The 27842-nt window shown below is 43.6% G+C and overlaps 1 protein-coding gene across 33 annotated transcripts in view, besides 6 other annotated features; it reads left to right on the top strand.

Moving 5' to 3' along the window:
* The window catches only part of PARP6 (poly(ADP-ribose) polymerase family member 6), a 31374-nt gene extending 10119 nt beyond the window's left edge, over positions 1 to 21255 (top strand). For 5 of the 33 annotated variants that reach the window (NM_001323531.2, NM_001323528.2, NM_001323525.2 and 2 more), the window contains 16 exons: positions 729 to 878; positions 1748 to 1958; positions 2775 to 2828; positions 4304 to 4399; positions 4996 to 5088; positions 5846 to 5971; positions 7916 to 7981; positions 8932 to 8999; positions 11181 to 11229; positions 11479 to 11591; positions 12344 to 12416; positions 13122 to 13191; positions 19737 to 19816; positions 20216 to 20279; positions 20451 to 20535; positions 20879 to 21255. In NM_001323531.2, coding sequence (NP_001310460.1) covers positions 729 to 878; positions 1748 to 1958; positions 2775 to 2828; positions 4304 to 4399; positions 4996 to 5088; positions 5846 to 5971; positions 7916 to 7981; positions 8932 to 8999; positions 11181 to 11229; positions 11479 to 11591; positions 12344 to 12416; positions 13122 to 13191; positions 19737 to 19816; positions 20216 to 20279; positions 20451 to 20535; positions 20879 to 20981 — 1501 coding nt within the window. In that variant the 3' untranslated portion in view covers positions 20982 to 21255. Of the gene's footprint in view, positions 1 to 728; positions 879 to 1747; positions 1959 to 2774; positions 2829 to 4303; positions 4400 to 4995; positions 5089 to 5845; positions 5972 to 7915; positions 7982 to 8365; positions 8487 to 8931; positions 9000 to 11180; positions 11230 to 11478; positions 11592 to 12343; positions 12417 to 13121; positions 13192 to 19736; positions 19817 to 20215; positions 20284 to 20450; positions 20536 to 20878 lie in introns of those variants that run through there. The other 28 variants (NM_001323521.2, NM_001323524.2, NM_001323519.2 and 25 more) reach the window with 15 other exon arrangements.
* Positions 24144 to 25343: an enhancer, noted in NCBI's record as "MED14-independent group 3 enhancer chr15:72529434-72530633 (GRCh37/hg19 assembly coordinates)". NCBI's record gives its function as "activates an origin of replication core promoter dependent on BRD2, BRD4, P300/CBP and CDK7 cofactors, and independent of MED14, by STARR-seq in HCT116 cells {active_cell/tissue: HCT116}" and the evidence as "EXISTENCE:reporter gene assay evidence [ECO:0000049][PMID:35650434]".
* Positions 24317 to 24403: a transcriptional cis regulatory region, noted in NCBI's record as "candidate enhancer chr15.2085 targeted for multiplex CRISPR interference". NCBI's record gives its function as "positively regulates PKM gene expression with high confidence in K562 cells {active_cell/tissue: K562}" and the evidence as "EXISTENCE:mutant phenotype evidence [ECO:0000015][PMID:30612741]".
* Positions 24538 to 25162: a transcriptional cis regulatory region, noted in NCBI's record as "candidate enhancer chr15.2084 targeted for multiplex CRISPR interference". NCBI's record gives its function as "positively regulates PKM gene expression with high confidence in K562 cells {active_cell/tissue: K562}" and the evidence as "EXISTENCE:mutant phenotype evidence [ECO:0000015][PMID:30612741]".
* Positions 24714 to 24933: an enhancer, noted in NCBI's record as "active region_9716". NCBI's record gives its function as "activates an Ori minimal core promoter by ATAC-STARR-seq in GM12878 lymphoblastoid cells {active_cell/tissue: GM12878}" and the evidence as "EXISTENCE:reporter gene assay evidence [ECO:0000049][PMID:35858748]".
* Positions 24757 to 24967: a silencer, noted in NCBI's record as "fragment chr15:72529810-72530020 (GRCh37/hg19 assembly coordinates)". NCBI's record gives its function as "represses an EF-1alpha promoter that drives an FKBP-Casp9 reporter gene in an ReSE screen in both phorbol 12-myristate 13-acetate-treated (for megakaryocytic differentiation) and untreated K562 erythroleukemia cells {active_cell/tissue: K562 | K562(+PMA)}" and the evidence as "EXISTENCE:reporter gene assay evidence [ECO:0000049][PMID:32094911]".
* Positions 25211 to 25331: a transcriptional cis regulatory region, noted in NCBI's record as "candidate enhancer chr15.2083 targeted for multiplex CRISPR interference". NCBI's record gives its function as "positively regulates PKM gene expression with high confidence in K562 cells {active_cell/tissue: K562}" and the evidence as "EXISTENCE:mutant phenotype evidence [ECO:0000015][PMID:30612741]".

Below are 27842 nucleotides of genomic sequence, written 5' to 3'. Positions count from 1 at the left end.
GGATTGATCTTAGGTAGAAGGGTCACCTTACCTCCAGAGAATGGAGGGATCAAGGTAGGGTGGAAATGTAAGTAGATTTTATAGTAGGGTTGGAAAATTAAGGGAACTGATACCTGATGGCTTAAGAAGGAAGAGAGGTTTTTGGTTGTAGATGAAGTTAGTAACTTAAAGAAGGTAATAAGGATTTAGAACAATACCTTAGAGTAATGCTAGAGAGAACTGATCAAGGACAAGTGAAAGGATTGACAAATCTAGCTAAGGGCGCAGCTCAAATTGGAAACCATAAATTTGAGAATATAATTTTTCTCCTAACAATGTCAGTACCCCTTATGTCCCTACTCCCTTTCTTCATGACTCACAAGGAACAAAGTGGTACTCACCTCCATCCTACCACTTCTGTTTCCCTGTCAACAGTATAGTCATTCTTGGCAATAGATTTCAAAGTTTGCAGCCTTTGAAGGCTCACCTTTGAAATCTCACTCTAAAGGCAACGCATCTCTGAATTTTTCTGGCCATTAGGCTAGGTGCCCTCTAGGGTGAAGGGGTGCTCTGGGATGGTGATTTTTTTATTTACTAAGGTCATTTAAAGGGGTCTTCAGATACACATTCCCCTACCACAACTAGCTTTGCAGTCCTTGGGTCTGAATTTTAGATTATTTGTCTCTCTTTAGTCCTTATTTCTTGACCCTGCCTCATCTTGCCTAAGCTCATTCTTTTTGATCCCTCAGGATCCTGGGTATGTTTACATCCCAACAATGGAAACATCTGAGCAATGATTTCTTGAAGACCCAGCAGGAGAAGAGGCACAGTTGGTTCAAGGCAAGTGGTACCATCAAGAAGTTCCGAGCTGGCCTCAGCATCTTTTCACCCATCCCCAAGTAAGTGCTCCCTAAAGCTGATCATCTGTAAACACCTTGTGATAGCCCCCACCCCCACCTTCTTGATTACATAAATGTTTCTATCCCCTCTCTTCCCTGAATTCTGTCTCTTTAACTACTGACACCACTCACATGGTCCTGTTCCCTATGTGTCCTTACCTTTCTACTCCTTATCCAAGGTTAATACCTAATCCTTTATGTAAAACAGAATACCTAGCTCGTGATATGTATTTGGAGAAATGTATGCTGAATCTTCCATCTTTCTGTTCTTTTGTCCTGATCCGTTTCCCCATCCTAAGAAGAAAGTGTCAGAGAACAGGCAGTAATTCCTTGCTAGGTTCTGGAAATAAATATTGCTCCATTCTTTGACCCCAGGTCTACATTTTCCCCCTGTGGTGTCTTCTGATATTCCCAAAGGCAGACACAAACCCAGATTTGTAGCTTCCCAGGAATCATTGTTGACAGTCAGATAGTCAATATTACGCCCTTTGGGATGCAACTACTTCTTGCCTAGCGCAGTGTTTAACAATCTCTCTCTCTATTTTTTTTTCTCTCTCTCAGAAAAACAGGCAGCCTTTCCAAGGGATTATTCCATACTTGGCTTAGAAACATAATAACCTATCCTCTGCCTCTGCCCACCCTCAGTGTCCCAATGTGAAGAACCCACAGATGATGACATAAAAATTTTAATTCAGATGTGTGATCTACTTGTTTTAATAGTGTTTAAGATACAATGCAACTTTCCTCAGATATGAGTTTGTCTTTCTTTAGTTTAGAACTTTTGGCTTAGGGCTCACTTATCTCCAGTCCCCTCCAGGGATCCTATGAAATCCCCAGTTTTATCACTTCTCTTTGCTCTCTCTCTGCAGGTCTCCCAGTTTCCCTATCATACAGGACTCCATGCTGAAAGGCAAACTAGGTGTACCAGAGCTTCGGGTTGGGCGCCTCATGAACCGTTCCATCTCCTGTACCATGAAGAACCCCAAAGTGGAAGTGTTTGGCTACCCTCCCAGCCCCCAGGCAGGTCTCCTGTGCCCTCAGCACGTGGGCCTCCCTCCCCCAGCACGGACCTCTCCTTTGGTACATGGGCTGGGGAGGGTTTGACTTGGCTATCAGGAGGGTGGGAGTGGAACTGTGGGAGTGTAGTTTCTCAAAATGGGGTGGGGATATGGTTGTCTAGGCATCATAAATCAAACCTAGGTATGTACCATGAGTGAGTAGAATGGAACACTTCTTTTTTTTTGAGACAGGGTCTCACTCTGTCATCCAGGCTGGAGGGCAGTGGCGATCTCTGCTCATTGCAGTTGCTGCCTCCCAGGCTCATGATCCTCCTACCTCAGCCTGTCAAGTAGCTGGGACTATAGGCACATGCCACGACTGGCTAATTTTTCATATTTTTGTAGAGACGGGCTTTTGCCATGTTGGCCAGGGTAGTCTTGAACTCCTGAGCTCAAGTGATCCGCCTTCCTTCACCTCCCAAAGTGCTGGGATTACAGGCACGAGCCACCACTCCCAGCTGGAAAACATTTTTTAACAGTAGAAAACTTATGTCTAAATTGTCTAGCGAGCTTCTCTGATAGGCCATGAAGCACAGAGTCTGGAGATGGGAATCTCAAGGAGAAGTCATGTATGATTTTATTAGTTTGTGAGTAGGACTGTAGTTAACTGTAGCTGCTGTACTAACCTATTCCATCTACTTTGAAGGAGGGTTAAGGACAGGTGAGCCCCTTTCCAGAACCTTTGGCAAAAATGTCTAAAAGTCTCCTTTCTAGCTTCGGGATTCTGAGCTAGGGTTTAGCTGCTTTAGGAGAGTCCTAGGTGATAGGCAAGAGTCAGGTCTGTCTAGGCCCCAGCTTCATAGGAGGTTCACGGGGTCTGTCTTTTTACTCTCACCAGGTCAGTGGTCACTGCAAGAACATTCCCACTCTGGAGTATGGATTCCTCGTTCAGGTAATCAAGTCAAAATTGTCACTCCGAAGCCCTTCCCTGTTGTCTGACCCATTTGGTCTCCTAACACCTCCCAGCTCCTCAATCAAATACTTTCTGAATTGCTTTGCTTCCAGAACTAATGGTAGAAGGAAAGAAGGCATTGTTCCCATCTTCAAGAAACTGACAGCATTACTAGAAAGACAATACTTACCACTTATGATCAAGTGCCAATGAGGCACCGCCAATTTTAAGTGTATGAGTGTCGAGACTCATATGACATGAGATGAGAATGAGATTGACACTAATTTCCTTAATGATTCCCAATAGCCCTTGCTCAAATGATCTTTAGTATTCTTCACAGACCCCCTTTCACTGCTCAGCTACTACTGGTCATTTGCTTTTTAAAATCTCTTTATTCCCTGGGCATGCTTTCACTTTTGCATCTCTGTTAACCTTTGTTCATGTAATTCTTCCTATCTTCCTCTTGCTATCAAGAGTCAGATGGCACCTTTTCCATAAAATTGCCATTACTCCAATGCATTAACTAGATGTGATGTCTCCCCTCACTGAACTGTTACGATTTGTTTTTGTTTCATATGGCACCTGTGTGTCACATACTATGGGCTGCCTTGAATTGTTATTAATTTATAAACATGCCACATCTCTCCTATTGAAGTTCAGCTTCTGAGAAAACAACCTTTAATTTTATTTCATAATCAAGAAGACCTTTCACAGAGCTGGGTACATAATGGGCATTCAGTAAATCTGCATTAAATGAATAAAGTCTCTTGCATGTCCCATTACCAGCCTAAAATCATGTGAAAGGGGAACAACTTGATTGATGCACAAAAGCTATGTTAAGACAGGGTGTCATTAAAAACAAACAAACAACAACAACAAAAAAAACGCTGTAGGATATTGCTGCATTAGCTCTGGATTTTCCTATCTTCCTAGCACAGAATTGTCTGTAGTTTTGACCAGTGGTCTGGCTAATTGTTCTAGGTAGTTGAAATGGCTTCTCAGGACCTTCTGCCATCTAATTGATTGAATGCTCTCCTATCCCAGAGGGACAGCCTATAATTACAAGTACTTTTAATAGTTTGATTAGCATCCATTTTATATTTTTAAAATGCCTTCATGGACATCATCTCATTTCTTGCAATACCCCTATGAGGTGAATAATGCTGTGCTATATAAACAAAGAAACCAAGGCTCAGGTTAACTGACTTGCTTAAAGTTATATATGCCATTAAGTATTAGAAGTACAGTGTTAACCCAGGTCTTCTCAATCAAACATCATGTTCTTATTTTTACTATACCATACAGTCTTAGCTCTGCAGTCAGGCCATCAGTTTAAGTACACAGCCTAAGAATATATCCTACCTTAGGCACGGGGCTGGGAGGATGGAGGGTAGTTGGAAAAAAAAGCTGAAATTATTTCCCATATCTGTGTGTGCCAGTACTTCCAAAAGACTTAGAATCTGTTGTTTTCTCAGATCATGAAGTATGCAGAACAGAGGATTCCAACATTGAATGAGTACTGTGTGGTGTGTGATGAGCAGCATGTCTTCCAAAATGGATCTATGCTGAAGGTATAGGACCGTACTCTATGACCCTCTTCCTTAACCAGGTCCCCTTCACTCCTCTCCTTTATTTCCTTCTTCCTTGGTCTGTGGTCAAGGTAAAATTCTGTCTGTACACCCTGATACTCTAGAAATTGTTGATTTTTCTCAGAAAACAAGTCTCAGCAGTACTGTTTAGAGAGATGAGGATATGAGAATATTTATTTAGGATAGAGTCCACCTGACATTTAAAAATGGGGATCAGATATTGACCAAGATGATTGGATATGATGCTGTCCTCAAGGACTCTAAGTCCAGATGGGAGACAGACAAATCACAATGTATGGTAAGTTTATAGAAGAGATATTAGCATTGTTAAAAATCAGGTGAGAGAACATCTGACTTCATAGGAAGATCAGGGAAGGCTTCATAGGGGAGACAGTGTTAACTCCCAAACTTATCAGTAAGGCATTTTAATTAAGACTTTATTGGTAGTTTTCTCCTGATATAGAGGGCCTCAAATTCCTACCCTGTTTTAGAGTTGTCTGAGGTTAGGACTGTCCCTCTCTGCCTACACCTTATTGCACACCCCATCCCACCACCATCTGTTTAATATATCCTTTCAGCCAGCTGTCTGTACTCGTGAACTATGCGTTTTCTCCTTCTACACACTGGGCGTCATGTCTGGAGCTGCAGAGGAGGTGGCCACTGGAGCAGAGGTATGGGGGAGGGAAACGTGGCTGGGGAATTGGGATCAAGAAAGACAGAGGAACCCAGCAATTTCATTCTTGGAATTTAACTTCCAAAAATGCTTTTGTATATAAGATAACCACTGTAGTATTGTTTGTAAAATAAAAAATGGATACAACCCCATCTGTAGGGGCTCCAGTTAAAGAAATTATGGGATATCGTTAGAGTAGATGTACTATATAGGTATTATTTATAGACAAAATTTTAACATAGTCATATAAAAAAGCAAATACAACAGCATATGTAGTAAAATTGTCCATGTAAGAAAATAAAGGGCCGAGCACAGTGGCTCACACCTGTAATCCCAGTACTTTGGGAGGCTGAGATGGGAGGATGGCTTGAGCTCAGGAGGTCGAGGCTGCAGTGGGCCATGATCACACCACTGCACTCCAGCCTGGGTAACAGAGTGAGCCCCTGTCTCTTTAAAAAAGAATGAGAGAGAAAGAAAAGAAAATATTTCCGTAGGAAAATTATCTGGAAGGATATACATCAAACTCACTAGTACTTAGCTGTGAGAATTGAGATTAGTTTAAGGGCAGGAAGATGGTTTTTTATCTTTAATTACTTTGGTATTACTTGAATTTTTATGAGCTTGTATTTTCTATTTTGAAAGCCTTAAACATATTTGCTTTTTAAAAGAACATCAGAGAGAAATACTGGGTACTCTGACTCCCAGTACTGGGAAATCATTTAGCTTCTGCCCTGTTTTTTTTCCTTTCCCCTAAGGTGGTGGATCTGCTGGTGGCCATGTGTAGGGCAGCTTTAGAGTCCCCTAGAAAGAGCATCATCTTTGAGCCTTATCCCTCTGTGGTGGACCCCACTGATCCCAAGACTCTGGCCTTTAACCCTAAGGTATGTTACTTGAGAAAGTCAGGGCTAAGGAACAGAAATGATAAAAGATAGTGGCAGACTATGGGCTGACATTCTGGTATATACAGGGCTTGGAATAAGGGACAGAATTCTTAAACTCTGTGATTTAGCTGTTTCAGTAAATAAATAGCCAAGTTTGACACAGAAAGGGGAGAAGAATTAATATTAGTTACATTATGATAGGGAAAAAGGGCTTTTGGAGCCAGACAGACCTGGATTCCATTTGAGATTCTGCTACTCCCCATTTGAAGGGTATTAGGCAAGTCACTTAACGTTTCTAAACTTCAATCTCCTTATCTTGTAAAAAGGGATAATATTTATTTTGCAGATCATTATACAAATGAGAAGTAGGCTGGGCGCGGTGGCTCACGCCTGTAATCCCAGCACTTTGGGAGGCTGAGGCAGGTGGATCACAAGGTCAGGAGATCGAGACCATCCTGGCTAACATGGTGAAACCCTGTCTCTACTAAAAAATACAAAAAATTAGCCAGGTGTGGTGGTGGGCGCCTGTAGTCCCAGCTACTCGGGAGGCTGAGGCAGGAGAATGGCATGAACTTGGGAGGCAGAGCTTGCAGTGAGCCGAGATTGTACTACTGCACTCCAGCCTGCTTGACAGAGCGAGACTCTGTCTCAAAAAAAAAAAAAAAAAAAAAAAAAAAAAAGAGAGAAGTAATATATGTAAAGTACTGTTTTAGGGTTTTCCAGAGAAACAGAGCCAATAGGAGATATATATGGAGAGAGAAGGAGAAAGAGGTTTATTATAAGGAATTGCCTCACATGATTATGGAGGCTGAGAAGTCCCAATATCTACAGTTAGCAGGCTGCAGACCCAGGAGAGCCAGTGGTACAGTGGTAGTCCCAGTCCCAAGGCTTGAAAAATCAGAGAGTGGGCTGGGCGCAGTGGCTTCTGCCTGTAATCCTAGCACTTCGGGAGGCCAAGGCGGGTGGATCACTTGACTGGAGTGAGGAGTTAAAGACCAGCCTGGCCAACATGGTGAAACCCTGTCTCTACTGAAAATACAAAAAATTAGCCAGGCATGTTGGTGGGCACCTGTAATCTCAGCTACTTGGGAGGCTGAGGCATGAGAATCGCTTGAACCCAGGAGGCAGAGGTTGCAGTGAGCCAGGATCGCACCACTGCACTCCAGGCTGGGTGACAGAGCGAGACTCTGCCTCAAAAAAACAAAACCAAAAAATCAGAGCCAATGGTGTAAGTTCTAGTCTGAAAGCCTGAAGGCTTAACATCCAAGAAGAGCCAATTTTTTTTTTAGTTCAAATCCAAAGACTGGAAAAGACTGATAATCCAATTCAAGCAATCAGGCAGGAGGAATACCTACAAACTCTACAAACTCATGGCGGGGTGGGGCAGAGGAGTCAGCCTTTTTGTTCTATTTAGGTCATCGATTGATTGGATAAGGCCCTTCCACATTAGGGAGGACAATTTGCTTTACTCAGTCTGCTGATTCAAATGTTAATCTCAACCAGAAACACCCTCACAAACACACCCAGAAATAATGGTTGACCAGATGAGTGGGTACCTCATGGCCCAGTCAAGTTGACACACAAAATTAACCATCACAAGTACCCAGCATAGTACCTCACTATTACTGTCATTACTATACAGAGTTCTTTATATATGATATTTAATCCTCAGAACATCTCTATGGGGGTGATAGGAGTTATCTTCACTTGCATAAAGGGATGCTAAAGGTTCTAAGAGGCCAAATAACTTACCCTGTTACTCCCAGCTGGTAAAAGAGAACTAGCATGTGCCCCTAGAACTGTCTGACATTAATGCTCTTTCCATGACATACTATTGTTTCCTAGGGCCTAGACTTTTTTGGTACATCTAGCCCCTTTTCATCACATCTTACTTTCCTCTACTTTTCTTTATTTGGTTCTTCTCTTCCCATTGATTCTCCACAGAAGAAGAATTATGAGCGGCTTCAGAAAGCTCTGGATAGTGTGATGTCTATTCGGGAGATGACCCAGGTATTCTGCCTTCTCTCTGTCCCCTCTCCTTTGCCTGCCCAGTTCAAGTGTCCTATTCTGTTGGTAATTTGTGGGAGTGGGATGAAGATTTAGAGATGCTACGCACTGTATTTTTTTTTTAGTCTTTCCTCTTTAACCTTCCCAATTCCTGTTCTCTGTTTTGTTAGCTCTGTTACTCCTCTTTATTCTCTTTAGTCTTTGTGTCTCAATCTTTACCTTTGCTGTTAATTCCTTTACAAGTTGTTCATATTTAATGTTTTGCCATAATTCTTAGGGAGTTAAGAAGTGAAGGAAAGACCTCTGCCCAGGGTTGGGAGGGTGAGGAGGAGGGGGGCTTGAAGGTAAGGAACTAGACACAGGGGCCTACATCTTCTATCCTTCTAGGGGTGGGGCAGCCACATGGAGCGGTGACCATCCTTTGACTCAAGGCTGTCCCTCACCAGACTTCCCCACCCCTCGTCTGCAATCTCTGCATGAATAGACATTCATTTGTACTCATTTACAGGTGGGCCTCTTCTCAGCAAATCCTGTATATCACAGTTGAGATTTACACATAAGATACACCTAGGAGGAATGATTTACTTGTCAGGAGGACGCTTTGCATTATTTAAAGATTTACCACAGGATTCCTTAGCCTAATCTTCTTGGGACATTGATTTTATTTATTTTTTGATTTATAATCAACTTTTTAGGGCTGTAGGAATTGCATAAAATGAGGGAGACCCACCTGCATGTTGTTTTGTAAGCATCTTCAGTCATTTTCATATTTATTTATGAGTCTTCCCAGCCTGACTAGGGCTCCTTGAGGGTGGGAACCCTATCTCCTTTTTCCTCTGTGTGGCCTTTGGTGCCTACCTTGCCCTGGACCCTAATAGTCACTCTGTGAAAAGCAGAAAGCAGGTAGGCTCCCACCTCTCCAAGGAGATAACGTTATGGCCATTGTCTTACAGGGCTCATATTTGGAAATCAAGAAACAGATGGACAAGTTGGATCCCCTGGCCCATCCTCTCCTGCAGTGGTATGGATAGAATGGCTCATCCTTCTTGGGTTATGGGGAGGGAGGGAGTTATTGGACATGGAACCTGTACCTTCTTTTAGTGGTGGTTTCAACATCCTTCCCAAGGTTATAGGCAGTAATGGGTGCTTTTTCTTGGAGTTTGTTGGCATACCTTGCCTTGAAAATAACACATCCTACAAAACGCCCACAAATTCTGACATGATTTTTCTTTCAAAAAAATTATTTTTAATCTTATTTTAATTGTTTCTTTTTTTTTTTTTTTGAGATAGGGTCTCACTCTGTTGCCCCGGCTAGAGTGCAGTGGTGCGATCATGGTTCACTGTAGCCTTGCCCTTCAGTGCTCAAGTGATCCACCTCAGCCTCCCCAGTAGCTGGGACCACAGGCATGTGCCACCACACCCAGCTAATTTTTTTTTTTTAATAGAGATGGAGTCTCCCTATGTTGCCCAAGCCAGTCTTGAACTCTTGGGCTCAAGTGATCCTCCTGATTGGCTTCCCAAAGTGCTGGGATTACAGCTGTGAGCCACGATGTGCAGCTGACATGATTTTTCAAGTTCTCTTTAGGTGTTCCATGTTTCGCAATAGGTTTTGTTGTTTGTTTTCTTTTTTGGTTTGTTAATTTATTTTTTAAATTGACAGATAGAAATTACAGGGCCGGGTGCAGTGGCTCACACCTGTGATCCCAATACTTTGGGAGGCCGAGGCGGGCGGATCACCTGAGGTTGGGAGTTCGAGACCAGCCTGACCAACATGGAGAAACCCCATTTCTACTAAAAATACAAAATCAGCTGGGCATGGTGGCCCATGCCTGTAGTCCCAGCTACTCGGGAGGCTGAGGCAGGAGAATCGCTTGAACCCGGGAGGCGGAGGTTGCCGTGAGCTGAGATTGCTCCATTACACTCCAGCCTGGGCAACAAGAGCGAAACTCCGTCTCAAAAAAAAAAAATTACATGTATTGTGTACAACATGATGTTTTGAAATATGTGTACATTGCAGAATGGTTCAGTAGAGCTAATAAGCATATGCATTATCTCGCGTATGTATTTTTTGTGGCGAGAACACTTAAAATCTACCACAGTGATTTTGAAGAATATTACACATTGTTACTAACTATAGTCACCACCAATAGGTTTTTGTGTCCTTTGCATGTAGAAATTAACACTGTTAATTTCAACTAAGTTTTCTTTGCATCCAGAGACGTCTGTCTCCTCCTGCTATCCCCTTGCCCTGTCTCTGGGCCTCCTTGATGATATAGAATGTCCAGAGCCTTGAGGCACTATTGCTGTGCTCTTCTCCTAGCCAAGATTTTGACTGTCCCTGCTGCCATCCATTCCTGATCTCAATTTCTATTGTTTTCCTGACATAGCTTTCCCTTTTTAGTTTGCCTCCCTCTTCCTAGTCAGCCTTCAGTACTTCCTCAGTGCAACAGCTTTCTCCCTCTTAGCCTGAGGAATAACCAGGCATAGACCATCTGAGGTGGCATCACAGGTACATAGATGAGGCACAAAAAACAAAGACAACAGCAAACTGTATCCACATGGGAGATAGTGCTCTCTTGCTGAGCCCTCAGTGTTTTATGTCTGTTCTCTTCTATCTTCTGTGTTCAGCCTGTATAGAGCTTAGTCTGTCCTTGACTCCTAAGGAAGTTCATTCTAGTTTCTTCTGTTTCTTTTTCCAGCCTAGACAGTAACTTTCTCTCCGTTTCTCCCCATTCCTGAGAGCTTTCATGTTTTCTCTTAAGCTAAGGAAGGATGGCTTCTGAGCCCAGGTCTGAATCTGAGTCTAAATCCCAGGTATAAGTTGTCACCATTCTAATTCAGACCTCTTGCTGTTTTTTCTTTTCTTTTTTTGTAGGTGACCTCTGTGCTCTTCCTTTTGTTCTACCCTTTTTACTCCCTACTTGTAGCAGCACTCCTCCCACCCCTTTTTTTTTTTCATCCATTGTTTAACTCCCCAATAATTAGCTTGTGTCTGGTCACTACCTTCCTTTTTACCTTTTTATTCATAAGCACTATCACCCACAGGAATATCCAGATAGTGACCTTGACATTTCACACAATTTGGACAGCCCAGGAATCCTTGTTTATTCTCCCAAAGGCAGAGGAAGACTGGCTTGTTCAGAAAGGATAGCTTAAATACATAATTATTCTATCCTTTTTATTTTTTTCTGTTTCTTCCCAGGATCATCTCTAGCAACAGGTCACACATTGTCAAACTACCTCTCAGCAGGGTAAGTGACCATTCTCCCTCTAAATGCTTTAAATTTCTGGTGAGGGGCAGGGAGGGGCTGGAAGCCAGCTAACCATATTGGTCCTAGATCTGCCTACATTGCTCTGTCCATCAACTTAGTCTTTGGGCCTTAGCATATTTCCCTTGTGTGGGGTTAATGCAAGCCTGATTTTTTCCCCTATCCCCAACCCTTCCCTCCCTGATCTCGATTTCTGCTCTGTTTTCCTGATTCCACCCCCACCCTGGGCAGCAGCTGAAGTTCATGCACACCTCACACCAGTTCCTCCTGCTGAGCAGCCCTCCTGCCAAGGAGGCTCGGTTCCGGACCGCCAAGAAGCTCTATGGCAGCACCTTTGCCTTCCAGTGAGGAGGCTGGGGGCTGGGCAGTGGGGGTGGTGAGGGGGCGGGGATGAGCAAGAAGGATGCCCTTGAGATATGAGTTTGTGTTACATGTGTCCATCAACCAGTCAGCAGATACTTACTAAATGCTATTGTGGTAGGTGCTATAGAGGACAAAAAGGTACATATAATGTGGTCTTTATTCTCAAACTATTTATGATGTAGTTGAGGAAAAATGACATTTACATGTGAAAAGATGTGGCTGAAGAAATAGATTGGAGAGAACAGATCTGAAAGCTACTTTGATGGAAAAATCCACAATTTATGCCTAATTTTGAGAGGAGGGAAAGAGAAAGAGAGGTATTAAAGAGAACTTATAGGGAGTGGTAGTACCCTTTTCTTAAAATAGAACATGAAGTCAGAACTGGAAGCCATATTTGGGGTCAGTGATAAATTTGTTGATTTTCAGATGAATTTATTGAATTTGAAATGTCAGGATAATGGGCAAATAAAAATACTGAACCAGCAGTTGAGGATTTAGGATGGGAGTAGCTGAAGCACCGAAGAGAGGATGGGACTGGAAATAGAGACGTAGAGTTTAACCACACACACACATCTTGCATGCCTGTGACTGTATCCATGTGCATGTCCATCACTAGGTGTACCTGTCCATCTTCATGTCCTGTGTGGGTGAGAATGGGTGGGAATGGCAGTCTTGGGAGTGTTCCTGGGAACCTCATATCATAAGGAGACATGTATTCTACCCTGCCTTACAGTGGGTCCCACATTGAGAACTGGCATTCGATCCTGCGCAATGGGCTGGTCAATGCATCCTACACCAAACTGCAGGTGAGGCTGTGCCCCTTTCTCCTTTATTTCTAACCGCTCCCTTCCCTACTCAGTTTTGTGGAAGGCTGCTCTAGAGTAAGCTGTTTTTGCCTCAGTGTCCTCAAGCCTAACCTGTCTTGTGGAGTTCCCTAGAGAGGAAGTTAGAACTGTATGAATAGAGAACGTGGCTGTTGTGTATTTGATCTCAGTCTGCGTTTTTTTGGTGGTTTGGGGAATGGGAATGTACCTGTAAGCAGGAATATGGAATTGCTGATTGTAGCCACTGTGATGAATTAATCTATTAGAGCTTTTCAATTTATGTGGCTATTCATTCAAGGAGTAGATATGGGAGACTTTTTCTATGCCCTGAGAGACTCCAGGGAGTGTGTATTGGCCCTCCTTCTGGCTACCCGTTCTGTAGTTCCTCTTTTTTGGAATCTGCATATGTACCAAGGCCTGGAGACAGGAAAATGAATGCTGAGGGACTGACTCAGTGGTTCTACCATTTCCCACTCTCGAATGTGTCAGTATGTAGCACTTCATAGGCAAGCAGGTTAACCTGCATCCACTTTTCAGCCAGTTGGCTTTCCGAGAATAGGTGCTTAGGGTTACTTGAATGAGAAGGTAGAAGGAGGGACAGAGGGCTGGATAAGCCTTGCTGCTGCCTAATAAATAGCCATGGGAGGGCCCAGGCTCATATTACTCATCCTGGTGTTTCCCTGCAAGCTGCATGGAGCAGCCTATGGCAAAGGCATCTACCTGAGCCCCATCTCCAGTATTTCCTTTGGATACTCAGGTAAGAAATATTCTGTGGCCACCTTGACTCTATTTACATTGCCTCCATTTGTGAATACATGATTTGTGCTGTCTGTTCCTCCCTCATTATGGATACTTGGTCTGTGTCAGCTCTCTCCCCGATCATGGATACATATTCTCTCTCTCTCTACATTTTCTTATTAGAAATTTAGATTCTTTACAAGGTGAGGCCAGTTATTGTTAAAAATGATGGTTTTATTCATAGCAGGGGCTTGGCCCTGGGAATGGGTGGAGGAATAACAGGGACATAACAAGGCTTTTTGTAGAACACGTTTGGTGTTGGCAATTATAGATTGTGTTTGTGTATACTTGTACATGTAAGTTTACATGTGAAAACATCTGAAGGCCTGAAGGCTTGCGTCCTTTCCATTGGCTTATATTTCTAGAGACACTGTTCTCTCTCTCAACCATCTTTTAAAATTTAAACTGTCTATAATCTTACACTATTATGTTAGTCACATTGAATGCAAGATAAAGCATTTTATTCTAAAGATGAGGTCCAGATTCTAATCAGGAGATGAGTCAAGCTCAGAAAAGGAAATCTGATTTAGAGTTCTCTCAGTCTTCCTGGCTTATGTCTTAGTTCATTTTCAGTCTGCTTTTGTGCTTGTTTGATGTAGTCTCTGTACAAGGTATAGTCACCATGTAGTTGCATGTTCACTACATGAAGGGGATTGTGCTAGATTCTTAATAGATTATTACTTGATATCCTGTAGTAATTTGTAACTGTTACAAAGATCAGAAAATGTAGTGCCATCAGGAGGCTGAGGCAGGAGAATCGCTTGAACCCGGGAGGCGGAGGTTGCAGTGAGCTGAGATTGCACCACTGCACACCAGCCTGGTTGACAGAGGGAGACCCCGTCTCAAAAAAAAAAAGAAAAAAGAAAGTGCCAGAATCAGAGGCCTAAAAACATCTCTAACAACAGAATAAACCAAACAAAATAGAAAAAAGGAGATAATACAGGTAAGAACTAACACCTGTGAAATAAAAATAGGTACAATAGATAGTACCAAAAAAGTCCAAAGATGATTTCAAAGAACTAACAGAACAGATAAACCCTGGTTAGATTAAGAGAAAAAGGACACAATTAAATAATATAATGACCAAAAAAAGCAGTACAACTATAGATAAGCAGAATTTAAAAAGGTAATAAGGCGGGGCACGGTGGCTCACACGTGTAATCCCAGTACTTTGGGAGGCTGATGTGGGCAGATCACTTGAGGTCAGGAGTTCAAGACCAGCCTGGCCAACATGGTGAAATCCTGTCTCTACTAAAAATAGAAAAATTAGCCAGGCATGGTGGCATGCACCTACTCGAGAGGCTGAGGCAGGAGAATCGCTTGAACCCAGGAGGCAGAGGCTGCAGTCAGCCAAGATCAAACCAGTGCACTCCAGCCTAGACAACAAAGCAAGACTCTGCCTAAAAAAAAAATAAAAAGTAATAAGAGAGTTACCTACACTATGCTAATAATTTAAAAACTTTGATAAAATGGATAAATTTCTAGAAAAAGATAACAAATCTGACAAGAAATAGCCTGTATAATCATAATACTATAAAAGAAATAGAAATTGTGTAAAAATTTCCACACACAAAATAAACCTCACCAAGCCCAGATGGTTTTACAAATTAATCTTAAACTTTCAAGGAACAAATTATTTTAGTTTTATCTAAAGTCTTCCAGAGAATAGAAAAAATGGAATTACAAATCATAAAAGATTGATAAATTTGACTATATTAAAATTAAAAACTTCTGGCTGGGCACAGTGGCTCACACCTGTAATCCCAACACTGGGAGGCTGACGTGGGATGATTGCTTGAGCTCAGGAGTTCAAGACCAGCCTGGGCAACATGGCAATACCCCATCTCTGCAAAAAAATAAAAATAACCAGGTCTGGCAGTGCGTGCCTGTAAGTCCTAGCTGGTCAGGAGGCTGAGGCAGGAAGATCACTGAGCCCAGGAGGTTGAAGCTGCAGTGAGCCATGATCATGTCACTGCACTCCAGCTTGGGCAGTAGAGCGAGACCCTGTCTCAAAAAAGAAAAAAAATTTAAAACTTATATTCTTCAGAAGACACCCTAAAGAAAGTGAAGAGACAGGCTACAAACCGACAGAAGACATTTGCAGCACATATAACCACAAAAGATTAGTAATAAAAGTGTACTTTTTGGCTGGGCGCAGTGGCTCACGCCTGTAATCCCAGCACTTTGGGAGGCCAAGGCAGGGAGATCACCTGAGGTTGGGAGTTTGAGACCAGCCTGACCAACAGGGAGAAGCCCCATCTCTACTAAAAATACAAAGAAAATTAGCCAGGCGTGGTGGCACATGCCTGTAATCCTAGATACTCAGGAGGCTGAGGCAGGAGAATCGTTTGAATCTGGGAGGCGGAGGTTGCAGTGAGGTGAGACTGCGCCATTGCACTCCAGCCTGGGTAACAGAGCAAGACTCCATCTCAAAAAAAAAAATAATAATAAATATGTTCAATAAGAAGAGGGAAGTCCCAGAAGACAGAGTGAGACTGTGATGCCTTTTTTATATTGTTCAAAAGCAAACAAAATTAAACATTGTTTAGGCATATATATGTGTATTATGTGTGTGTGTGTGAAAACTAAAGGAAAAAGAAAAAACAAAAGAATAATAACTCAAATTGCAGGATAGTGATTACCTCCAAAGGGAGGCATATAGTTAGATGTAAGTCACTGGTAATGTTTTAGGTTTAGAATTTAGTTCTTTGATTGGGTCTCTGGGTATTCATTGTCTTATTAAAAAATAATAATGAGGCTGGGCATGGTGGCTCACACCTGTAATCCCAGCACTTTGGGAGGCCAAAGCAGGTGGATCACGAGGTTGGGAGTTCGAGACCAGCCTGACCAACATGGTGAAACCCTGTCTCTACTAAAAATAGAAAAATTAGCTGGACATGGTGGCAAACATCTGTAGTCCCAGCTACTCGGGAGGCTGAGGCAGAAGAATCACTTGAACCTGGGAGGCGGAGGTTGCAGTGAGCTGAGATCGTGCCACTGCACTCTAGCCTGGGCAACAGAGTGAGACTCCGTCTCAAAAAAACAAAACAAAACAATAATGTGTTATGAAACAAAGATTATGATTAATCCACACAGGGCAAGTGACCAACACATATTTATTGAATATATGAGTGAATCTTACTCTGTGTGCCTGGCATCCAAAGTGGGGTTAGGGTTGGAATAGTCTTTTTGATTTGTCTGGATTCTTCACTTTTTATCTTTGTCTCAGCCTAAGCATCCCTCTGATTAAGTTCTTTTGTCTTTCCGAGTAGTGAGATTCTCATGGTTCTTGGTGCCCACTGAGATTCTTCTTTTCTGTTTTCTCCCTATGCCCTCCCTTTCTTTCTCTTTTCTCCCCCTGGCCTTTGTTTACTACCAAGTGCCTAAATACCTTTAGTTACCAGATGAAGCCAGAAATCTCTGTTGACCTCTCGTCTTTCTTCATCACTTAACCGATTACATAAAGATATCATAGACACCTTTCATCTCCCTCTCTCAAAGGGTAATTGATTATAGATACAAAATGCAGTTGAATTTTACTATTGGAGTTAGAGATCATCTAATTTAATCCCTTATTACTTTACAGATAAGAAAGCTGATATACAGAAAAGTTAAATGATTTTCTTATGGTCACACAGCTATGAGTAGCAGAGATAGGGCTGCAATCCAGGTCTCCTAATTTCTAGGCCATTGTTGTTATCACTATATGATACGGTTTGGCTGTGTCTCCACCCAGATCTCATCTTGAATTCCCATGTGTTGTGGAAGGGACCCAGCGGGAGGTAACTGAATCATGGGGGCAGGTTTTTATTTGTTTTTGTTTTGTTTTGTTTTGTTTTTTGAGACAGAGTCTCACTCTATCGCCCAGGCTGGAGTGCAGTGGCGCGGTCTCAGCTCACTGCAAGCTCTACCTCCCGGGTTCACGCCATTCTCCTGCCTCAGCCTCCCGAGTAGCTGGGACTACAGGCGCCCACCACCACGCCCAGCTGATTTTTTTGTATTTTTAGTAGAAGTGGGGTTTCACCATGTTAGCCAGGATGGTCTCGATCTCCTGACCTCGTGATCCGCCTGCCTTGGCCTCCCAAAGTGCTGGGATTATAGGTGTGAGCCACTGTGCCTGGCCCATGGGGGCAGGTTTTTCCAGTGCTGTTCTTGTCATAGTGAATAAGTCTCATGAGATCTGATAGTTCTATAAGGGGGAGTTTTGCTGCACAAGCTCTCTCTTTGGCTGCCACCATCCATTTAAGATGTGACTTGCTCCTCCTTGCCTTCCACCATGATTGTGAGGCCTCCCCAGCCATGTGGAACTGTAAGTCCATTAAACCCTTTTTCCTGTATAAATTACCAAGTCTTGGGTATGTCTTTATCAGTAGTGTGAAAATGGACTAATACACTATATTAGACTGACAGAGTAGGCCTTGCTTGAATGACGGGTCTCTGAGGGCCCTATAGATATGTGAGTATGTATAATGGGATGTTGGGGGAAATGTGTGCAAATGTTCCACTTACTGTAGTTACTCCAGCATTTGACCAACTGTCTTGTATGTTTTCTTCTACGCTATTCTGCTCTGGTTTTCTGTTTTTTCTTTCTCACACTATCTTTAGCCTAATGGCATTGAGTGCCCTCTGGAAGTGAGGGTTGGTGTAAATAGCGTTCATATATCTAGTTCCAGTGACTTGGCTATAAAGTTCAGGTTGAAATAGGGGACAGTGAAAAAGGAGGTGATATACTCCATCTGTTTGTTTAGTCTTGTTTAGGGACTTCTGATAAGTGCATACTCTGGACACAGAACATCTAGGGATTATTCTAGCCACCATGATCTCAGGTTCTGGGCTCAGGAAATGGACAATCATTGGATCAGTGTGGAAAGGATAGTGTACAACAGGATTGAGTTGGGACAAGATTTGGGTTATATCATAAGGGCCATCTCTAAGACCTGCCAGAGAAATCAGATTGTTCTTTATTATCTTTTATGTGCCTCCTCTGGAGTATAACCTGAATGGGAATTTTACTTTTTGTCACTGACATACCCAGTTTGAGAGAAGGTCATGATGTTTGGGTGGAGAGCTGAACCTAGTTAAGGCTAATGGGGAAGGTGAAAACAGGGGTTATGAGTACCTGTCCTGTAAAAGGAAGAAATGGGCAATTCAAGCCTTGAGGCTCTTGGTGTCCTGAGTTTTGTTCAGGCCCTACCTAAATCTGTCACGAGACTTGAGTGTAAATGCATGATGAATTGACAGCCTGAGCAGTGAAGAATGTCAGTTCAACAGCTATCAGTCTATTTCTACACCATGGCTATGAGAAAACCAAGAACTGATCAGAGTGGAGTTAATAGTAATAGAAAGTTCCAGGGTAGAGTGGTGAGAGTGCTTATGACCTATAATGATAGCATCATCTCCATCTTCATCTCTCTCCCTGGTGGACACACACAGGCACGTGTGTCCACACATGGGTAGACATTTTTATCCCTAACTGTGGTAAGATTGGGCCTATGATAAAGCTGAGTACAGAGACTTAACGTCCTATCCTCAAACCAAAAAGAGTGAGGAGTGGGAGCACACAAGCACATTTTCATATCTAAATAAGAAAAGTCCAAGTTGAGTCTATAAATGTTATAAACGGGTAAGGAAGGTAGAGAGTTTATGGATTTAGATAATGTGGAAACTAGAAGGAATGGGCACTTCTTTCTCAAGCCTGGGAAGACTGTTTGAAGTAGGATTCTTCAAGTTAGTTGCCATTGTGATTTCCTGTACAAAATTATTCATCACTTAACTGCTGATGCTTTTCTCTTGAATGACTGGTCAGGTTTTTAATGTAACTTTGAGACTAGAGCAAATCTGACTTGTTCTGCTTGCTTCCTTTCCATTCATTTTACTCATCCAGGCACTTGACACCAAGGTATTGATGTCCCACTCTCCTGGGCCCCTCATTCCTGGCTGATTTCATGTGCTGCTCCCCTATCTTAGAACCCTGCAGTGGTTCCCTAATGTTCTGAGGATAGACTTTAGTTGCCTTAACATGGCCTGCAAAGCCGGCTTGATCTGATCCTAGCTTGCCTCTTCTACATCATTTCTCACCACTCCTCTGCAATTCACTATTCTCTATGCAACTAACACACACTACCTTATCTTTCCTTCAGGCCTTCTGTATCCTATTACTTCTTCCCAGACACTTCCCCGCTGTTTATTTAATTAACTCTTCCTAATCCTGCAGTTCTCAGTCTAGCTGTCACCACATGACTTCTTTAAACTCTTAGGCTAGGCTAGTTGCCCTCCTCTAGGCTCACACCATGCTCTATAATCTGCATCACAACCCCTTACCATGCTGTGTTGTTAATTACTTGTTCTTGCTTGTAATTTCCAGCAGACTAAATTCTGTGGGGGAAAATAATCTTCTTTGTTTTATTCTCTGCTGTTTTGATGAGCATCTAGCTCAGTGCTGGGACATAGTAGGCACTTTCGTAAATTTTTGATAAATGAAGTGGGTGTATTGTTCTGTGACAGGAATGGGAAAAGGACAGCACAGGATGCCCTCCAAGGATGAGCTGGTCCAGAGATACAACAGGATGAATACCATCCCCCAGGTATTGGAACTATTCTAATGAGGCAGGACCTTTCCCTGGGGCTAATTTAGGCTCCAGAGCTGGACAGGGAAACAGTGGGGTGAGAATGGGTTGGGGAGTGATTTGAGATCATTTAAAGGAGTCAGGTATGTTCTAAAGTGAACACACGTCTGGAGTCATATGTAGCTGAAGTCATGAGTATAAAAGCAGAGGCTGAGTTTAGATGAAAATGTAAAGATGGAAGCTGTGACCCTATCCAGACTGATTATGGGAAAGAAGAATTTTCTGGGCGGCGAGGGGTGTTGCTGGGAGCCCAGGATATCTCTGATCCCCACTCCCAATCATCAGCTAACCAGCCTCTCTAGGGAAAGCTGTACCCATCTACCTGGCTCTGGTCTCCTTTGCCTCCTTCTCTTCCAGACCCGATCCATTCAGTCACGGTTCCTGCAGAGTCGGAATCTAAACTGTATAGCACTTTGTGAAGGTAGGTAGCTTGCCCATGTCCTGTTTTTCTGGGTCTCTAACCTTTGTTTCTGATGTAATTTTGGCACATGATCTGGCCAAGAGTGATGTTGAAGTGGCATGGCTTCCTTCTCCTGCCTGGACTCTGTGCCTTAAGCATTGTATCTATGATTTCTGGCCCTCTTTCTCCCAGTGATTACATCTAAGGACCTCCAGAAGCATGGGAACATCTGGGTGTGCCCTGTGTCCGACCATGTCTGCACAAGATTCTTCTTTGTGTAAGTGTCGGAGGGACTCTGGGGATTACTCGAGGAGTGAGGTTGGGGGTGTGATGGTGTGTGGCTACTGGGAAAAGTCTATTTCTGTTATCTGAGACATGTCCTTGGCTACCTGAGTGGAGCTGTCACTGGGACTTTACCATTGGAGGATGGGAATGGGTATAGATGGTTGGGATCTATCTAGAGGAAACCAGATAAGCTGAATATCTTCCACTATGAAGCAGTGAGAAAGGGCTTTGACTTCTGGGATGGGATGGCCATACCTTGAAATACAGTTCCACTGATTGATGTTATTCTGGTATTGTTCTCCCTCTTATGCTCACACTTGCCCTATCTTTGGCAGATATGAGGATGGTCAGGTGGGCGATGCCAACATTAATACTCAGGACCCCAAGATACAGAAGGAAATCATGCGTGTGATCGGAACTCAGGTTTACACAAACTGAGGGGGCCCCAGCCCTCGTACCACCCCTGTTACCCCAGGATCCATCTGCCCTCATAAAAGTGTTCAGGTACAGCAGCTGAGGCTGCCCTGAGGAATCAAGGGGCCATTACCAAGGGGCAGGAAAAGGATATGTAAGAGGTGGCCTTCATGGTAGAGCTTGACCCAAGAACTACTCCACATTCGGATGGCCCAGACTGACTCCATCCCCTGACTTTCCCTTTGACTTCACCCTGTTTGTAAATAAAACAATAAAATGGAAGGTGCTGTGGACTGGATATGATCACTGTGGTTTGACTAGCCTTGGAGCAGCACCTGCCCCAAGCCCTCACAAGGGGCAGGGGGTGGGGAGACTGGAATATCCTGCGGATTGGGACTGTTTATGTTGCATGGTATCAAAGTTGTGTCCATTTATTGTAGTATACTACAGATGTGTCAGCTTTTTAATCAGTGGATTAAAGGGAAACTTATCAGTTATGCAGATGAAACAAACCGAGAATATAGAATACCACTAATGACTATTAGTCAAAATTTAAAAGGGCCATTGAGGCCAGAGCAGCTAAGATTTACTGCCTTTAGGGCCTATTGCTTTCTGCACAAACCTGCCCAGTCTCCCTTGCTCTATATCTCAGGAACTGGACCCCTACTCTCTTTCTCCTCCAACCTGTTTCTTCAGGGTAAGTGAGGTTAGGGGAGAACTGGTGGGAGCAGGAAGTGGGGTTTGTCTCTAAGTCGAAATCTATAAAGACATCCTAAGGGAATGCAGCTTCACTTAATGAAACAACCCAATTTCACCAAGTTTAGTAAGGTGGTAAAGGAAGGCAGCTCTTTCTAGGAAGCCTAATTGTTGTAGTGAATTTTTTCTTCTCCCTGTTGAAATTCCCATTTCAGCCTTTTGCTGGCCTTTCAGGCTGTGCTTCATGTGCCCCAGATCCTTAGTTATAAGCATAGCTGTGTCAGTTGGACATTTCCAAATATTTTGTGAAAAAAAAATTTTTTTTTGAGACAGGGTCTTACTCTGTTGCCTTGACCTCCCAAGCTCAGGTGATCCTCCCACCTCAGCCTCCCAAGTAGCTGGGACCACAGGCAGGTGCCACCACACATGGATAATTTCCATACTTTTTGGAGAGATGGCGTTTTACCATGTTGCCCAGGCTGGTCTCCAACTCCTGGGCCCAAGCCATCTGCCTGTGTCAGCCTCTCAAAGTGCTGGGATTATATACTTTATGAAATATTAATGAAGAAAAACAGGAATATAAGCACAGAGAATACAAAAAGCATTAAATAAGCCTGGCATTTCAAGGATAGGGTTTTTTAATCTGTTATAGCTTGATTTACAAAGCACACTCTAGGCTACCTGTTGTCTTTCATCACCTTCACCGTACTTTAGAGGTACCTTCTTGCCTGGGTATCTTACCCTGGTTTTCAGTTCCTGACCTGCTTTAACATGCAAGTACCATTCTTAAGGTCCATCCCTCTAGAAGCTGTTTCTTAAACTTTGCTCATTCTTGATCAACACTAACACATTCTAATTTACAAGTCTCCTAAGCCCTCTTCTCCCATTCTGGTTTCAGGTCTAGGAAATAACCTCTTCACCAAGTAAATGACCTCATCACTGAGCCCACTCTGACTGAAATACCTGCCTCCTGAGAGGACTTTGTGCCCATCTCTGTAGTATTAGAGATAGCTGACCTTTTCTTTAGTTTTTACTAAGAAGGTGCTGACATTATGCTAAGCACTTTAATAATTTGCTAACACTTTGGATTACTTACTGTGTGCTTGGTATTAAAAATTTTCTTTTTTCTTTTCTTTTTTTTTTTTTTTTTTTTGAGATGGAGCTTCACTCTTTTTGCCCAGGCTAGAGTGCAGTGGTGTGATCTCGGCTCACTACAACCTCTGCCTCCTGAGTTCAAGTGATTCTCCTGCCTCAGCCTCCCGAGTAGCCGGATTATAGGCATGCACCACTACATCCAGCTAATTTTTTGTATTTTTAGTAGAGATGGGGTTTCACCATGTTGGTCAGGCAGGTCTCGAACTCCTGACCTCAGATGAGCCACCCACCTTGGCCTCCCAAAGTAGTGGGATTACAGGTGTGAGCCACTGCGCCCAGCCAGTATTATAAGTTCTCTACATATATTTACTCGTAATTCTCAGAACAAGCCTATGAAGTAGGCGTGATTATTCCTATTTTGTAGATGAGAAAGCAGAGGCACAGAGCATAAGTAACATATTCCACAGCTAGTGACAGGCAGCCTGACTCCAGATTGCTGTTCTGGTTCTATGCTGAAAAGTGTTCAAACTTTACAAATATTTTTTCATTTAATCCTGACAACAAAGCTGGAAGATAGGTTTTCTTCAGAGATCTTAAATAATGTATCTAAGGTCCCACAGCTGGTTATTGGCAATGTTAAGTTTTGCTTTTTGGTTTTTTTTGAGACTTGGTCTCATTGTCACCCAGGCTGGAGTGCAGTGGCGTGATCATAGCTCATGTAACTTTCAACTCCTGAGTATAAGTGATCCTCTTGCCTCAGCCTCCCAAGTAGCTATTACTACAGGCATGTGCCACCATGCCTGGCTAATTAAAAAAAATTGTTTTGTAGAAATGGGATCTTGCTATGTTGCCCAGACTGGTCTTGAATCGCTAGCCTCAAGCAGTCCTCTCAAAGTGCTAGGATTACAGGCATGAGCTACTGTGCGCAGCCAGTGCTGTTTCTAACTAGATCTGACCAACTCCAGAACCTGAGTTCTTTTAACCACTCTGTTATCCTAGATGGTCTCCAACTGTTCTCACTGATGTTCCAGCAACTGAACTTTGGTGTGTGGCTACTCAAATGGTATAACAACATTTCTGTTCAATTTCAAAGATTGTTAATAGATTTTTCTCAGTCGTAAGCATTTCTTATAGTTTCTCTGTATCACTGACATCCAATATAGCAGTACTAGCAAATGATGGAATGAGAAGGAACAAATGGTGTATATTACCAGAAAAACTCAAATAGCTGAGCTAGCCTTATGGGTGTCACTTTAAAAAAAAAATCATCTGTATAATAATCTTTTTATGCCAATAAAATTGTAATAAAGTTAAATACATCATTTCATAGTGCCACAGAAAAGCAATAGGACTTTTTGGATCTAAGAAGTTTAGAAGCCACAAATGATAATATCTTAACATATATGAGGTAAAACAAATATAATTAAAACCCCACAAACAACAAGAATGCCTTCATTGTAGGGAAACTTGGGTGGGACCCTGAGTTTCTGGAGAGGAATCCTCCCACAGCCTGGAGGGGGAATTGAGGTAAAGTTGCCCCTTTTCTCTGCCCAGGCCTGGTTCTTCTGGAGGTGGGGAAGCTGGAGCCTGTGAAACCCAGGTGTGAGCAACAAGGCATCCTCCACAGGGCCAAGCCTATTACAAATACCATACATACAGGTTGACAGCGGCCTCCTACTTTTCATGTAGTCCTGGGCTCAAGCAGTCTCACTTCATAGACCTAGACATGCTTGGTTAGGACTAGGGTCAGGAAAAGAACTATTTTCTTCATTAGTTCTGGGTACAGAGTAGATGGCTATTTTTATTTTATTTTTTATTTTTGTGGGTACATAGTAGGTATATATATTTATGGGTTACTTGAGTTATTTTGATACAGGCATGGAATGAACAATAATCACATCAGGGTAAATGGGGTATCCATCACCTCAAACATTTATCTGATTTTTAGGTTGAGAAATTACAAACCCCTGGAGTTTAACCTTCCGTTTCCCTCCTCCTGGTAATTTTCCATCAGGCAGGGTGTGACCATGACTCAGTTTGTGGTGAGGATGTGGCCATCCATTGGGGAGGAGCCTGCTCGATTCTGCCTTTCATTCTGGCTGGTGGGGAGAGGGGAGAAGAGTCTGGTGCTGAGTCATTACTGGGTTTCTTACCAGCTTCTCACAGGATGGATTCTGAGATGGAGGTCTGAGGGATGCCACAGCTTCTGGGACTAATTCAGGAGTGGTGTAGAGGAAGCTCTATGGATCGTGTAATTCCTTGTAGAGCCCTCCTACCCCAGGAGAAGTGGGAATAAGGTAGGCTGCAGCTCATTTGAAGATTCACTGGCTCCTTTGGAGCACAGGACTTGCCACAAATGCATCAGACCTCTCCTCCTCTCACAGTGAGCCAGAGATGCCACTCTTTAAGTTAAAAATTATTTTGCTTAGGAGAAGACCCAAAGTCTCCTCAGTCCTAGCTGTCCTTCCTGGGATAAGTGGGTCAGATTAGCTGGCAGCCAATGAGCAAGGGCAGACACAGGTGGAGAGTGGAAGTGTGTCAGGGAAAAAGCAGACTGGTGGAACTGAAGCCAGAGGGCTCCTTGGGAGGGAGTCACTTGATCAGGGCTTCACTGATGCCTTCTTGTTCTTCCAAATCTTGATTGATGCCCCATCTCATCCCCATATGCCATGTGTCAGGATGCTCCAGTCTCTGCCTCTCCTTGGGATGGAAAGTGCCAAAGTATATCCAGGCAGATTACTTTGGGGGGATAGGGTCTGTTTATAGTGCCACTTGCATCTTTGGGGACCTGAGCTCTGGCTACACTTAACAGGGAAAAAAAGAGCACAGGGCCTCGAAGGGAGTTGCTTGGTGGATAGGATTAGATCACTCTAACGGGGCTTTGTCCAGTGAGCCCAGCATTTCTGGGCTGGAGAAAGACTGCTGGAGGTCACATTGGTTGACAGGGTCACCTTGGCTAAGACTATACTTCCATCAGAGTGACCAAGGACTCCTTAAGCTTCTCCCTTCCATTCTAAGCACTGATGAGGTTGCAGGAGCCTGGGGAAACCTAGATACACAGTTGCATTCAGAAAACACTCAGTATTTGTTTAACTGTCCCTCCCCATGGCCACCCCCCACACCATGGCCTTGCCATACCTATCTCTATTCTAACCAATTTTCCATGCCTAGCTTGAATGTCTCCTCCATGAAGCATGCCCTTTCCACACAGACAGCCTGTTCTCTTTATCCCTAACTCCAAAGTCTAACTTTATCTTCCAGGATTTGTCTGGGGAAACTGATATGCCACCCTCATAGGCCTGAAGAAATTGTAGGAGTTTGAAGGAAGACCTAGAAAAAAAGTTCAGGCTGGGGGCAGTGGCTCATGCTTGTAATCCCAGCACTTTGGGAGGCCGAGGCAGGTGGATCACCTGAGGACAGGAGTTCAAGACCAGTCTGACCAACATGGCGAAACCCCGTCTGTACCAACAATACAAAAATTAGCTGGGCATGGTGGCGGGTGCATGTAATCCCAGCTACTTAGGAGGCTGAGGCAAGAGAATCGCTTGAACCCGGGAGGCGGAAGTTGCAGTGAGCTGAGATCACGCCATTGCACTCCAGCCTGGGCGACAGAGCAAGACTGTGTCTCAAAAAAACAAAAAAGTTCACCTGGGCTCGGTGCAGTGACCCACACCTGTAATCCCAGCACTTTGGGAGGCTGAGGCAAGCAGATCACTTGAGCCTAGGAGTTTGAGACCAGTCTGGGCAACAGTGAGACCCCATCTCTACATACTATTTATTTAGAGATGGAGTCTCCCTCTTGTCGCCCTGCCTGGAGTGCAATGGTACAATCTCAGCTCACTGCAACCTCCGCTTTCTGGGTTCAAGTGATTCTCCTGCCTTAGCCTCCTGAGTAGCTGGGATTACAGGCAGCCGCCACCACGCCTGGCTAATTTTTTCTATTTCTAGTAGAGACAGGGTTTCGCCATGTTGTCCAGGCTGGTCTCGAACTCCTGACCTCAGTTGATCCGCCCTCTTCAGCCTCCCAAAGTGCTGGGATTACAGGCGTGGGCCACCAAGCCTGGCCCTGGCTAATTTTTAAATTTCACATAGAGGCCGGGCGTGGTAGGCTGCCCTGGAAATTGTATTGTCCTGAGAGAACACTGCCATTTCAGATAGAGGCTAAGATGTCACATAATTGATGTAAAGCCTGTAATCTCACCCTCTTCATCAGGGCCAAAGCTTGTCTTTAGGCTCCAGGATTAGGTTCATTACAGTTTGTTGACACACTTACCACCCCTTCTCCAAGGACTCCCAATGATTTTAGAGAGTTAAACCATTAAACTGCAGATTCTGTGGTCAAGAATCCAAACAGAAAACATACCAATTTCCACTTTTACTCACACCCAAATCCAGTGAACCTAGCAGTTTCCCATCCCATCCTGGTCAAGTCCAGGAACACAGTGGAAGGGCTGGCTCTAGGGGGAGAAGCCTGTGTCCTCCTTCAGCAACCCCAGTTTCCTGTAGTCCCGACCTGTTACTGGGTCAAAGGAGTGATGGTCCAGAGAAGGGCAAGCTTAAATTCAGGAAAACATTCTGGCTCTGGTCAGAAGGTGTTTGTGGAAAAGCCAACTCAGACTGTATTTTTCCTCTGTTCTCATGCCACCACTACAACAATCAACACAGACTTCTGTGACCAAATATGTGGGGGATTTGCCCTCACACCAAACAGGCAATCAGTTCTGCTGCGGGCATCATCTGGGTGTCCTCCAATTCAATTCTGGCACTGTACCTGGAGATAATATCAGATCCCACAGGTTGAGGTCCCAGTCCCCAAGAATGCCCCTGGTTTGGACATCAGTAGTTAGTATGGGCCTCCAGAACTTCTGTCCGACCAACTTCAATTTGGGATTCCCATGATCCCCTTTTTGGGTTCAACCAATTTGCTACAGAGGCTCACAGAACTCAGGGAAACACATTTACTGGTTTATTACAAAGGATATTATAATGAATAAAGATGAAGAGATGCACAGGGCCAGGTATGGGGGAAGGGGCCTGGAAGCTCCATGCCCTCCCTGGGAGTGGCATCCTCCAGGAACCTCCTATCTGAAAGCC

The sequence above is a fragment of the Homo sapiens genome, chromosome 15, assembly GCF_000001405.40.
Source record: "Homo sapiens chromosome 15, GRCh38.p14 Primary Assembly".
NCBI classification, from domain to species: Eukaryota; Metazoa; Chordata; class Mammalia; order Primates; family Hominidae; genus Homo; species Homo sapiens.
This window is presented reverse-complemented; position numbering and strand designations above follow the sequence as displayed.